Raw genomic sequence first — 14,244 nt, forward strand, 5'->3', positions numbered from 1 at the left:
AAGAGATTAGGACATAGACACCCATAAAGACCCATAAAGGGATGGCCTTGTGAGGACACAGAAGACTCCTCTGCAAGCCAAGGAGAGAGATGTTAGGGGACACTTGCCCTGCCAATAAAACCACCTTTGCCAAAATTATAACTGACAGAATTATTACAGTGAAAGAGATCTGACTTAACTGACTCCATCCTGCTTCTTTTTTTTTTTTTTTTTTTTTTTTTAAGACCAAGTCTTGCTCTGTCACCCAGGCTGCAGTGCAGCTCAATCTCAGCTCATTGCAACCTCCGCCTCCCGGGTTCAAGAGATTCTCCTGCCTCAGCCTCCCGAGTAGCTGGGATTACAGGTGCCTACCACCACGCCTGGCTAATTTTTGTATTTTAGTAGAGATGGGGTTTCACCATGTTGGCCAGGTTGGTCTTGAACTCTTGACCTCAGGTGATCCGCCCACCTCAACTTCCCAAAGTGCTGAGATTACAGGCATGAGCCACCGCACCTGGCCCGACCTGTGCATTTATTGTTGGAGCATAAAGGCCTAGGCAGCCAGGGCAGCTTGCAGCCAGCTGGTGGCTGGACTTAGTCCTGCAGGCCATGGGGAGCCCCTGGGTGGTTTCAGGCAGAGGACTGGCATGGTCAGATTACATTCTAGCTGTGGAAGAAAGGCAGCTCTGGGCCCTGCAGCTGCCGGTTTTGCTGGTGTTATCTACCCTTCTAACTGGGATGTTTCCAAGTTCTACTCAAGGTTTCTACACACAAGCTGTTCTGAAAAACAAATCAACCCTGTTAATTGAGTCAAGTAAACAAGTCCTGACCATTTATCGGAGACCTTAGCGCCTGCCTTGCAGTCTGTCTATGCCAAGCCATATCAAAATTCTGGACAGCTTTAAAATCCACATGTGGGCTGGGTGCGGTGGCTCATACCTGTAATTCCAACACTTTATGAGGCCGAGGTGGGAGAATCGTTTGAGCCCAGCAGTTCGAGACCAGCCAGGGCAACATAGTGAGACTTGGTCTCTACAAAAAACAAAAAATTAGGCCGGGCGGGGTGGCTCACGCCTGTAATCCAAGCACTTTGGGAGGCTGAGGTGGGTGGATCACCTGAGGTCAGGAGTTCTAGACCAGCCTGGCCAACATGGTAAAACCCCGTCTCTACTAAAAATGCAAAAATTAACCGGGCCTGGTGGCAAGCACCTGTAATCCCAGCTACTCGGGCAGGGGGGCCGAGGCAGGAGAATCGCTTGAACCCGGGAGGCGGAAATTGCAACGAGCCGAGATCACGCCATCGCACTCCAGCCTGGGGGACAAGAGTGAGACTTTGTCTCAAAAAAAAAAAAAAATTAGCCAGTCTGGTGGCGCACACTTGTAGTCCCAGCTACTTGGGAGGCTGAAATGGGAGGATCACCTGAGCCCAGGAGGTTGACACTGGAGGAAACTATGAGCTCACCAATACACTCCATGCGTGACAGTGAGACCCTGTCTCAAAATAAAATAAGAAAAATATGTCAAATTAATAGAGACAAAAAGTAGAATGGTGGTTGCCAGGAGTTGGAAAAAGGGGGAATGGGGGTTGTTTAATGGGTATAGAATTTTGGAAGATAAAAAAAATTCTGGAGATGGATGATGGTAATTGTTGTATTAGGTTGGCACAAAAGTAGTTGCGGTTTTTGCCATCACTTTCTTTTTTCTTTTTTTTTTTTTTTTTTGAGATGAGATGGAGTTTCGCTCTTGTTGCCCAAGCTGGAGCGCAATGACATGATTTCGGTTCACTGAAACCTCTGCCTCCTGGGTTCAAGCGATTCTCCTGCCTCAGCCTCCCTAGTAGCTGGGATTACAAGCGCCCGCCACCACGCCCAGCTAATTTTTTGTATTTTTAGTAGAGATGGGGTTTCACTATGTTGGCCAGGCTGGTCTCGAACTCCGGACCTCAGGCGATCCACTCACCTCAGCCTCCCAAAGTGCTGGGATTACAGGCATGAGCCACCACACCCAGCTTTGCCATCACTTTCAATGGCAAAAACCGCAATTACTTTTGCGCCAACCTAATACAATACTTAATGCCACTGAACTGTTTACTTTAAATTGATTAAATGGTAAATGTTACATTACATATATTTTACCACATTTAAAAAAAAGATGTATAGTGTAAGCCGGGCCCAGTGGCGCATCTCTATAGTCCCAGCTATTTTCCAGACTGGACAACATAATTAAAAAAAAAAAAAAAAAAGGACGGTGTGTGGTAAAATGTTCCCTTCAATGGTGGGCCTTCACCACCTGGAACCAGGGAAGACCAGCTTGTTTTATCTGAGTTTCTTCCTCAGGAAAGACTTTCAGCCTCTCAAAAAAAAAAAAAAAAAAAGAAAAGAAAGAAAGAAAAAGAAAAATAAAGAAAAAAAAAGAACAAAAAGAAAGAAAGTATCAGGTCAGGCATGGTGGCTCACACCTGTAATCCCAGCACTTTGGGAGGCTGAGGTGAGTGGATCACTTGAGGCCAGGAGTTTGAGACCAGCGTGACCAACATGGTGAAAACCCGTCTCTACTAAAAATACAAAAATTAGCTGGCCGTGGTGGTACATGCCTGTAATCCCAGCTACTCGGGAGGCTGAGGTAGGAGAATCGCTTGAACCTGGGAGGCAGACATTGCAGTGAGTGGAGATCACCCCATTGCACTCCAGCCTGGGCGACAAAGCAAGACTCTGTCTCAAAAAAAAAAAAGTATCAAAAAACTGAAATTCACCAGATCACTATGTCCAGACAATATGATGTGTGATCCCTCATTCATCATGATTGCTTCTTTACCCCTCCATAGTTCCTGTTTTTTTTAACACATGGTTACATTTCTTCCCTGCTATATAAATCCCTGCCTTTAGTCCATCAGGGAGACGGATTTGAGACTGAGCTCCCATCTCCTGGGCTGCAGCACCCCTTGTACCCCCCACTCCAACACCAATTAAAACCTTCTTCTTGGCAATACTTGTAGTCTCAGTTATCGTCTTACTGTGTAGTTAGCAGCAGAACTTAGAACCAGCTTGTCCAAGCCATGGCCCAGCCTGGCCAACATGGCGAACCCCATCTCTACTAAAAATACAAAAATTAGCCGGGCGTGGTGGCATACGCCTGTATTCCCAGCTACTCGGGAGGCTGAGGCGGGAGAATCACTTGAACCTGGGAGGCGGAGGTTGCAGTGAGCCGAGATCGCGCCACTGCACTCCAGCCTGGGCGACAGAGTGAGAGCAAGATTCTGTTTAAAATAAATAAATAAATAAAATAAAATCGGCTGGGCGCAGTGGCTCACGCCTGTAATCCCAGCACTTTGGGAGGCTGAGGCGGGCAGATCACCTGATGTTAGGAGTTTGAGACCAGGCTGGCTAACATAGTGAAACCCTGTTTCTATTAAAAATACAAAAAATTAGCCAGGCATGGTGGCACGTGCTTGTAATCCCAGATACTCGGGAGCCTGGGGCAGGAGAATCGCTTGAACCTGGGAGGTGGAGGTGGCAGTGAGCTGAGATCGTGGCATTGCACTCCAGCTTGGGCAACAAGAGCAAAAGTCTGTCTCAAAAAAAAAAAAAAAAAATCTTCCCCACTAGGTGGGATGTCTCCTGAGGACAAGGAATGGGTCATTTTTCTTGTGCCATTGCTTGCTGGAGTCTCCGGCCCATAGACGATACTAAAGGAACATGTGTTGAGTGGAATCTCAATGGATAATTCTTTTAGGGGTGGACTGTGATCTGGGGAGGGGTGGAAGGACTCAGGCCTGTGAAGCATGGTGTCTTGATTCATGGTCTATGCTAAATGTGTTTACATAGACATGTGTCTATGTGAAATGCTGCCTCACTGGCCACAGCCTCTACTGGGGAAATCCTCATGGCTAAAATGAGGCCTGGGATGCTTGGTTTGAGGTGGGACCCGTGTGAGGTGGGCAAGTTGGAAGGCCGTCAGAGCTAGGAAAGGGTAGCGGTGACATTGGCTCCTCGAGAAAGCAGCAGGGGCCTGTGGGAAGAGGTGTCTGTCCAGAGGTCCCGGGAATCCAGGAGTGTCTGTGCTGTGGAGGATTGAGGAGGGTGAGCCTCAAAAGCCCAGCCAATGCGTTGCCACTTGAACCTCTCTTTGCCCGAAAAATCAAATTTGAGGAGGAATCCAGCTCAGGATATTCTTTGTAAAATCAGAGAACAGAGGAGGGGAGTCGTAAGAGTCAGCTAGGGCTGCCATTACCAAGTTTCACAAATGTGGCTTAACTAAGAGAAACTCATCTTCCCCCAGTTCTGGAAGCTGGAAGTCTGCGATCAAGGTGTTGATTGGCAGGGTTGGTTTCTTCTGAGGTCTCTCTCCTTGGCTTGTAGATGGCCACCTTCTCCCCATATCCTCACACAGTTTTCTCTCTAAGTGTGTCTGTGTCCACATTTCTTTCTTTCTTTTTTTTGAGACGGAGTCTGGGTCTGTCACCCGGACTGGAGTGCAGTGGCATAATCTCGGCTCACTTCAACCTCAGCCTCCCAGGTTCAAGTGATTCTCTTGCCTCAACCTCCCAAGTAGCTGGGATTACAGGCGCGCACCACCACGCCCATCTATTTTTTTTTTTTTTTTTTTTTGTATTTTACGTAGAGATGGGGGTTTGTCATCTTGGCCAGGCTGGTCTCAAACTCCTGACCTCACGTGATCCTCTTGCCTCAGCATCCCAAAGTGCTGGGATTACAGGCATGAGCCACTACACCTGGCCCCAATTTTCTTTCTTTTAAGGACACTAGTCATGTTGGGTTAGAGGCCACCCATAGGCCCTCATTTTAACTTAATTACCTCCTCCAGACCCTATCTCCAAATATGGTTACATTCTGAGGTGCTGGAAGTTGAGACTTCAGCATATGAATTTTGGGATGGACACAGTTCAGCCCATAACGGGTGGGAGAGGAGAGACGGGTACCCATTGTGCCCCCAAATGCATCACAGGGTGGAAAGACTGGTCCTTTAAAGATTCTGGGGGTTAGCAGGTGTCTTGGATTGGTGAGAGTAAATAGGCTAGAGTGATCACCTCCAAACCCCTGGCCAGTCACAGAGGGCACCCTCAACCCCATTATCTTCTTTTTTTTTAAGTATAGATGGGGGTCTTGCTATGTTGCCAAGGCTGGTGTCAAACTCCTGGCCCCTCAAATGATCCTCTGGCCGCCTTGACCTCCCAAAGTGCTGGGATTATGTTATGTGTATTTTAACACAATAAAACATGTAACGGCTATGTAAATGGCTTTAAAGGGCATTTGGAATAGGTAAGGCTCACACAGAGCTCACACAGATGTGAGCCTGTTCTGCGTAAAGCCTGTAGGAGACAGAACTGCATCAGGAGCCTGGGCTGCTTGTCAGGAAGGCAGGCATCCCTGTGGAGAGAGGCCACAGACTGCAGTGCAGTCAGCTACCAAATAAGGAGGCACCCGAGCTATAAATAGCTGTTAAGACAAGCTGAAGCATGCCCTGACTTTAAGGTCAGCTCAGCTGTTAGCTGCCTGGCAGACATGGGGGCAACAGCTAACTCTCGTCTCCTCCCTCCTCAGGCACCCCCTTGTTTTGCACAGGGCTCCACCTCCCCCCTGTCTCCTGAATCTGACAATGTCAACATCAGCTGAAGGCCCTGGACCAGGCTTCCAGGTCACCCATCCTGGGTATAGCCACAGGTGTGCCAGGTGTCAGACAAGGCTGGAGACAGGAGGGATCTTTTCTGTTGTACAGATGGGGGAACAGGAGGCCGGTAGGAGAGGAGTCATGTTCCAAGTTCCACAGTAAACAGGTGGCAGTGCTGATGCAGCTGCTCCATGCCTCACTCTCTCCTGTGCCTCTCGGCCCCTTTGGTGCCCTGGCCCCCAGCAGGGAAGATAAGAGTCTGGAGTAATGGCTGGCATAAGTCTCCTCCCCTCCCCCAGGAAAGGCCAAGACAATCAGTTTGCCATTGAGATGCCAGTTGGGGCCCGGTGCTGTGGCTCACACCTGTAATCCCAGCACTTTGGGAGGCCGAGGAAGGCGGATCACCTGAGGTCAGGAGTTCCAGACCAGCCTGGTCAACATGGTAAAACCCTGTTTCTACTAAAAATACAAAAAAATTAACCTGACGTGGTGGCACGCACCTGTAATCCCAGCTACTCGGGAGGCTGAGGCATGAGAATCGCTTTAACCCGGGAGGCAGAGGCTGCAGTGAGCTGAGATCCTGCTGCTGCATGCCAGCCTGAGTGACAGAGCAAGACTCCATCTCAAAAAAAAAAAAAAAAAAAAAAAGATGCCAGTTGGCTGGGCTTGACATAACATGAAAGGGGGATGATGACTTTTTTTTTTTTTTTTTTTTGAAGATTATGGCTTTTTCTAAGCAATGCGCACAGTTCAAATGAAAGGGGATCAGGTTGTGCCACCCCCAAGAGATGCACTTTGGCATAGGATTATTTTCAGCTGAAAGCAATTGAGGATCAACAGATACAAGAAGGTTCTCTGCCCTTCTCTTAGCCAACTAAGAACAGAGCAGAAATTTCCCTCAGTGAAGGTGGCGTGAATTTCCCTTGTGAAGGCAACTCCCTTCTTGTACCAGAAAGAGGAGAGCCGCTCTTATCACCAGAGACAGAGAGCTGGCAGCAGGGTGAGTCTGCATAAACAAGCCTGACGAAAATAACCCTTGTCTGCCGTTAGTTTCTCCTGTATTCCTAGTCGCTTTCCCACAAGTAATCAATCAACCCTTGAAGCCCAAACCCCTTTCTTTTGTTAAAATGGTATATAAGCCCCAGATTCTAAGAGACCTTCTTTGAGTTTCAATTTTCTATGAACTCCTGTGCACATAAATATTAATTAAAAATTTATGCTTTGGGGGACCCGGTGAGGTGGCTCATGCCTGCTACCCCAGCACTTTGGGAGGCCAAGGCGGGTAGATCACTTGAGGTCAGGAATTTGAAGCCAGCCTGGCCAACATGGCAAAACCCCCTCTCCACTAAAAATGCAAAAAAATTAGTTGGGCATAGTGTGCACGCCTGTAGTCTCAGCTACTCAGGAGGTTAAGGCAGAGAATTGCCTGAACTCGGGAGGCAGAGGTTGCAGTGGGCCGAGATCGCGCCACTGCACTCCAGCCTGGGCAACAGTGTGAGACTCCGTCTCAAAAAAAAAAAAAAAAAAAAAGGGAAAAGGAAAATACATAACCATGGTGGTGTGTGCTTGTAACTACTTGGGAGGCTGAAGTGGGGTTGGGCCCAGGAGGTCCAAGCTGCAGTGAGCTGTGATGGTGCCATTGCACTCCAGCCTGGGCAACAGAGCCAGATCCTGTCTTAAGGAAAAAAAAAAAGATACTAATCTTTTGTTGGCTATATGTGTTACAAATATTGTTCCCCAGTGTATGACATATCTTTTCACTCTCCTAATGATATTTTTTGATGAGGTGACTTTCTTCCCCCAGTATTTTTTTCAATTACATTTCTCAAATTGAGAAATAATTTACATTTCCAGCCAATGTATCTGCAGAAAAAAACCAAACAAACAGGGGGATGGGGCTCAGTAAGTCATGCCTGTAATCCCAGAACTTTGGAAGGCTGAGGCGGGCAGATCACTTGAGGTCAGGAGTTCAAGACCAGCCTGGTCAATATGGTGAAACCCCATCTCTACTAAAAGTACACAAATTAGCTGGGCATGGTGGCCCCCACCTGTAATCCCAGCTACTCAGGAGGCTGAGGCAGGAAAATCACTTGAACCCAGGAGGCGGAGGTTGCAGTGAGCCAAGATTGTGGCACTGCACTCCAGCCTGGGCGACAGTGAGACTCTGTCTCAAAAAAAGAGAAATAATTTACATGCAAAAACATGCACAGATCTTACATATTCAGTGATTTGTTTTCTCTCTCTCTCTCTTTCTTTTTTTCAGAAGGAGTCTCGCTCTGTCACCAGGCTGGAGTGCAGTGGCGCGATCTCGGCTCACTGCAAGCTCCGCCTGCCGGGTTCACGCCATTCTCCTGCCTCAGCCTCCCGAGCAGCTGGGACTACAGGCGCCCGCTACCACACCTGGCTAATTTTTTGTATTTTTAGTAGAGACAGGGTTTCACCGTGTTTACCAAGATGGTCTCCATCTCCTGACCTCGTGATCCGCCCACCTCAGCCTCCCAAAGTGTTCAGATTACAGGCGTGAGCCACCGTGCCCGGCCTTTTTATTTTTATTTTTATTTTTTAGACAGGGTCTCGCTCCTGTTACACAGGCTGGAATGCAGTGGTGCACTTAAGGCTCACTGCAGCCTTGACCTCCCAGGCTCAAGCCATCCTCCCACCTCACCCTCGAAGTAGCTGGGATTACAGGTGTGTGCTACGATGCCAAGCTAATTTTTGTATTTTTTGTAAAGACAGGGTTTCACCATGGCCAGGCTTGTCTGAAGCTTCTGAGCTCTAGCAATCCACCTGCCTCGGCCTCCCAAACTGTTGGGATTACAGGTGTGAGCCACCCTGCCCAACCTGTTCAGTGAGTTTTGACAATCATGTACAACCACGAGGTAACCATAAACCAAGATAAAGACTTCCATCATCATAGAATGTTCCTTCCTGCTTCTTTCTAGTTCATTTTCTCATCCCAGTGCACAATCACTTTCTGAATTCTATTACCGTAGATTGGTGTTTCTTTTTTTTTTTTTGAGATGGAGTCTCACTCTGTCGCCCAGGCTGGAGTGCAGTGGCACAATCTCAGCTCACTGCAACCTCTGCCTCCCGGGTTCAAGTGATTCTCCTGGCTCAGCCTCCTGATTACAGGGATTATAGGCACATGCCACCAGGCCCTGGTAATTTTTGTATTTTCAGTAGAGACGAGGGTTCACCATGTTGGTCAGGCTGGTCTTGAATTCCTGACCTCACGATCTGCCCACCTCTGCCTCCCAAAGTGCTGGGATTACAGGTGTGAGCCACCGTACCTGGCCAGTGTTTTCTTTTTTAAAAAAATGTTTGTGGCTGGGCACAGGGCTCATGCCTTTAATCCCAGCACTTTGGGAGGCTGAGGCTGGCAGATTGCTTGAGGTCAGGAGATTAAGACAAGCCTGGCCAAGACAGTGAAACCTAGTGTCTAGTAAAAATACAAAAATTAGCTGTGTGTAGTGGCGCACGCCTGTAATCCCAGTTACCTGGGAGGCTAAGGCAGGAGAATCACTTGGACCTGGAAGGTGGAGGTTGCAATGAGCTGAGATCATGCCACTGCACTCCAGCCTGGGCAACACAGTGAGACTCCATCTCAAAAAGTAAAATAGTAGCCAGGCACAGTGGCTCACACCTATAATCCCAGCACTTTGGGAGGCCGAGGTGGGTGGATCATCTGAAGTTGGGAGTTCGAGACCAACTTGACTAACGTGGAGAAACCCCATCTCTACTAAAAATACAAAATTAGCCTGGCGTGGTGGTGCATGCCTGTAATCCCAGCTATTTGGGAGGCTGAGGCAGGAGAATCACTTGAACCCGGGAGGCGGAGGTTGTGGTGAGCCGAGATCGCGCCATTGCACTCCAGCCTAGGCAACAACAGCGAAACTCTGACTCAAAAATAAATAAATAAATAAATAAAATAAAATAAAACCTTTTAAATTTGAACTTTTTTTTTTTTGAGATGGAGTCTCACTCTGTCACCCAGGCTGGAGTGCAGTGGCACGATCTCGACTCACTGCAATCTCCGCCTCCCGGTTTCATGCCATTCTCCTGCCTCAGCCTCCTGAGTAGCTGAGACTACAGGCGCACTCCACCACGCCTGGCTAAGTTTTTGTATTTTTAGTAGAGACGGGGTTTCACCGTGTTAGCCAGGATGGTCTGGATCTCCTGACCTCGTGGTCTGCCCACCTCGGCCTCCCAAAGTGCTGGGATTACAGGCGTGAGCCATGGCGCCCGGCCCTTTTCCTTTTTTTTTTTTAAGATGGAGTATCCTTCTGTTGCCCAGCCCAGAGTGCAGTGGCAGGATCTCAGCTCACTGCATCCTCCACCTCCTGGGTTCGAGCAATTCTCCTGTCTCAGTCTCCTGATTAGCTGGGACTACAGGCGTGCGCCACCACACCCAGCTAATTTTTTTTTTTTTTTTTTTGAGACGGAGTCTCACTCTGTAGCTTAGGCTGGAGTGCGGTGGTGCAATCTCGGCTCACTGCAACCTCTGCCTCCCGGGTTTAAGTGATTCTCCTGCCTCAGCCTCCTGAGTAGCTAGGATTACAGGTGCACACCACCACGCTGGGCTAATTTTTGTATTTTTAGCAGAGACGGGGTTTCACCATGTTGGTCAGGCTGGTCTTGAACTCCTGACCTGGTGATCCGCCTGCCTCGGCCTCCCAAAGTCCTGGGATTACAGGCATGAGTCACCATGCCTGGCTAATTTTTGTATTTTTATTAGAGATGGGATTTCACCATGTTGGCCAGGCTGGTCTCGAACATCTGACCTCAAGGGATCTGTCTGCCTCAGCCTCCCAAAATGCTGGGATTACAGGCGTGAGCCACTACACCTGGCCTTTTTTTTTAGACTTGATGTTGTTTTTTTGCCCATGCTGGTCTCGAACTTCTGGCTTCAAATGATTCACCTGCCTGGGCCTCCCAAAATGGTAGGATTACATGCATGAGCCACCGAGCTCAGCTCGCTTTTTGCTTTTAATTTTGGTAAGGCCAGGAAACACAGTCGATGACACCTCTGCTTGATGTGGCAGGCCCTCATTTGGCCTTCGTCCTCGGTGAACGGCCTCCATCTCCAGATATGGGGCATCTGTGGCTTTACCCTTGGCTCTCATAGCCCCATCTCTTTAAAAAAAATTTTTTTTTAACTTTTTTTGTTGTTTTGTTTTTGAGACAAAGCCTGTTGCCCAGGCTGGAGTGCAATGGCACAATCAGGGCTCACTGCAGCCTCAACCTGTGGGTAGTCCTCCTCAATCACCCACAGCCCTGTTGAATAGCTCTTTCACTCCTGTCCATGGGGCTGGTGAGAGAGAAGGGCAGGTCCGTGTGAATCTGGAGTTCTCTGACAGAAAAACAACCCAGTCCACATTTCCCCAGGGCAGGGGTGGGGGATGGTGGCAGGGTGAGGGGCACTGGAATCAGCTCTATAGCGGGAGGGACAACCTGTTGTGAGGTTCCGGTTTCAGATCTTAAGTGTGTGGTCTTTTAGGATTATACTGGGGCAGGAAGGGGTGATGGGCAGAGGACGAGGAGAGCAAGAGGGACCGGTAAGGAGCCCAGGGCTGATCAAACGTCAGACAGTTTGCTCCCTGGCCTGCTGCCAGCATCTGTTCATGCCAGAAAGAAGTCAGAGGTTGGGCTGCTGAACTCCAGCTAGGTGCTGGGTGAGGGCCGGGTGTGGTCACTGTACAAGCCGTGGACTGAAGTTAATTGGCCTTCACAGGTGCCAGCAGGTACATGGCCCTGCTCACTTGCCTTTTGCTTTGCTTTTTTTTTTTTTTTTAATTTTGATTTTAGGTTCAAGGGTACATGTGCAGGTTTGTTATATAAGTAAACTCGTGGCCGGGCGTGGTGGCTCATGCCTGTAATCCCAGCACTTTGGGAGGCTGAGGTGGGCGGATCACCTGAGGTCAGGAGTTCGAGACCAGCCTGGCCAACATGGTGAAACCCCGTCTCTATTAAAAATACAGAAATTAGCCGGGCGTGGTGGCAGGCACCTGTGGTCCCAGCTACTCAGGAGGCTGAGGCAGGAGAATTGCTTGAACCCAGGAGGCAGAGGTTGCAGTGAGCCAAGATTGCTCCACTGCACTCCAGCCTGGGCAACAGAGTGAGACTCCATCTCAAAAAAAAAAAATATGTAGCTGGGCGCAGTGGCTCACGCCTGTAATCCCAGCATTTTGGGAGGTGGAGGCGGGCAGATCACGAGGTCAGGAGATCGAGACCATCCTGGCTAACATGGTAAAACCCTGTCTCTACTAAAAATACAAAAAAATTAGCCAGGTGTGGTGGCGGGCACCTGTAGTCCCAGCTACTTGGGAGGTTGAGGCAGGAGAATGGTGTGGAGGCAGGAGAATGGTGTGAACCCAGGAGGCAGAGCTTACAGTGAGCCGAGATCATGCCACTGCACTCCAGCCTGGGCGACGAAGCGAGACTCTGTCTCAAAAAAAAAAAAGTAAATGCATGTCACTGGGATTTGTTGTACAGATCATTTCATCTCCCAGGTACTAAGCTTTTTTTTTTTTTTTTTTTTTTTTTTGAGATGAATCCTCACTCTGTCGCCAGGCTGGAGTGTAATGGCACAATCTCAACCCACCACAATCTCAGCCTCCTGGGTTCAAGTGATTCTTGTGCCTCAGCCTCCCGAGTAGCTGGGAATGCAGGTGTGCGTCACCACCCCTGGCTAATTTTTGTATTTATTTTTTCAGTTTTAGTAGACATGGGTTTCATCATGTTGGCCAGGCCAGGCTGGTCTCTAACTTCTGACCTCAAGTGATCCACCTTCCTTGGCCTCCCAAAGTGCTGGGATTACAGGTGTGAGCCACCACACCCAGCCCTCAAAATGTTTGAAGAAAGTTTAGGAATTTGTGTTGGGCCACATTCAAAGCCGTCCTGGGTTGCATGTGGCCCATGGGCTGTGGGTTGGATAAGCTTGGTTTAAGCGTTTTTCTCCGCAATCTCTCCAGCATCTGTTATTTTTTGACTTTTTTTTTTTTTTTTTCAATTGAGATGAGGTCTCGCTCCTCTGCCCAGGCTGGTGTTGAGCTCCTGGCCTCAAGTATTCCACCTGCCATGCATGGCCTCCGAAAGTTCTGGGATTACAGGCATGAGCCATCATGATTGGCCGACTTTTTAATAATAGCTATTCTGAGAGGTGCGAGATGGTATCTCATTGTGGTTTTGATGTGTGTTTCTGTAATGTTCAGTGATACTGAACTTTTTCTCATATGCTTGTTGGCCGCATGTGTAACTTTTGCTTTTCTTATGAACCTTTGCACAGGTCTCCGGCTTCCACTCATCTTGTCCTTCCCAAAGCCCACTCCCACAGCTTGCTTGGCTCCTCAGGGTCTTTGGGGCCTGCCGTGTACCGCTTTGGATTTGCTTTTCAAGCCTATGCAAGGTATCCAGAGCAATGGGACTTAAAAGAAAAAAGACCAGGTCAGGCGTGGTGGCTCATGCCTTTAATCTCAACACTTTGGGAGGCTGAGGCAGGAGGATTTTTTGAACCTAGGAGTTCAAGAACAGCCCTGGTGGTTGGTGGCTTACGCCTGTAATCCCAGCACTTTGAAGGCTGAGGTGGGTGGATCACGAGGTCAGGAGCTCAAGACCAGCCTGGCCAAGATGGTGAAACCCTGTCTCTACTAAAAATAAAATTAGCTGGGCATGGTGGCAGGCGCCTGTAATCCTGGCTACTCGGGAGGCTGAGGCAGGAGAATCGCTTGAACCCGGGAGGCAGAGGTTGCAGTGAGCCGAGATAGCGCCACTGCACTCTAGCCTGGGCGACAGACTGAGACTCTGTCTCAAAAAAAAAAAAAAAAAAAAGAACAGCCCTGGCAACATAGTGAGATCCCATCTCTACCAAAAAAAAAAAAAAAAAATTCTATTTACCAGCTTTGATATGCCTGAGGGTGTGACCCCTGTGGCCCTGGATGCTGTCACTCGTTTCATTGATATTCCTTTTTTTTTTTTTTTTTTTGAGACAGTGTCTCACTCTGTTGCCCGGGCTGGAGTGCACTGGCGTGATCTCAGCTCATTGCAACCTCTGCCTCCTGAGTTCAAGTGATCCTCCCACGTCAGCCTCCTGAGTGGCTGAGATTACAGGTGCCCGCCACCACACCTGGCTAATTTTTGTATTTTTAGTAGAGATGGGGGTTTGCCATGTTGGCCATGCTGGTCTCGAGCTCCTGACCTTAAGTGATCCACCCACCTCAGCCTCCCAGAATGCTGGGATTACAGGCGTGATGTTTTGTTTTGTTTTGAAAGTCACTCAGGTTGCTCTGTCACTCAGGTTGGAGTGCAGTGGTGCAATCTCGGTTCACTGCAACCTCTGCTTCCCGGGTTCAAGCAATTCTCCTGCCTCAGCCTCCTGAGTAGCTGGGACTACAGGAGTGCGCCACCACGCCAGGCTAATTTTAAAATTTTCTGTAGAGATGGGCGGACCCACTATGTTGCCCAGGCTGGTCTTGAACTCCTGGTCTTAAGTGATCCTCCCACCTCAGCCTCCCAAAGTGTTAGGATTATAAGCATGGACCTCTGTGCCCACCTTCTTTTTTTTTCCTAAAAGAAAACCATGTTTATTTGAGAATAGCCATTGCAATGGTAATACACAGGACATAGTAAAAACTATGTGCTGCA

General features: G+C 48.7%; 2 annotated features.

Annotated features, from left to right (window-relative positions):
- Nucleotides 5,151-5,741: an enhancer, noted in NCBI's record as "H3K27ac-H3K4me1 hESC enhancer chr7:140206498-140207088 (GRCh37/hg19 assembly coordinates)". NCBI's record gives its function as "activates a minimal SCP1, AML or CMV promoter by ChIP-STARR-seq in naive H9 embryonic stem cells {active_cell/tissue: H9 hESC(naive)}" and the evidence as "EXISTENCE:reporter gene assay evidence [ECO:0000049][PMID:30033119]".
- Nucleotides 5,742-6,331: an enhancer, noted in NCBI's record as "H3K27ac-H3K4me1 hESC enhancer chr7:140207089-140207678 (GRCh37/hg19 assembly coordinates)". NCBI's record gives its function as "activates a minimal SCP1, AML or CMV promoter by ChIP-STARR-seq in primed H9 embryonic stem cells {active_cell/tissue: H9 hESC(primed)}" and the evidence as "EXISTENCE:reporter gene assay evidence [ECO:0000049][PMID:30033119]".

Source organism: Homo sapiens, chromosome 7 (assembly GCF_000001405.40).
Source record: "Homo sapiens chromosome 7, GRCh38.p14 Primary Assembly".
In the NCBI taxonomy this organism is placed as follows: domain Eukaryota; kingdom Metazoa; phylum Chordata; class Mammalia; order Primates; family Hominidae; genus Homo; species Homo sapiens.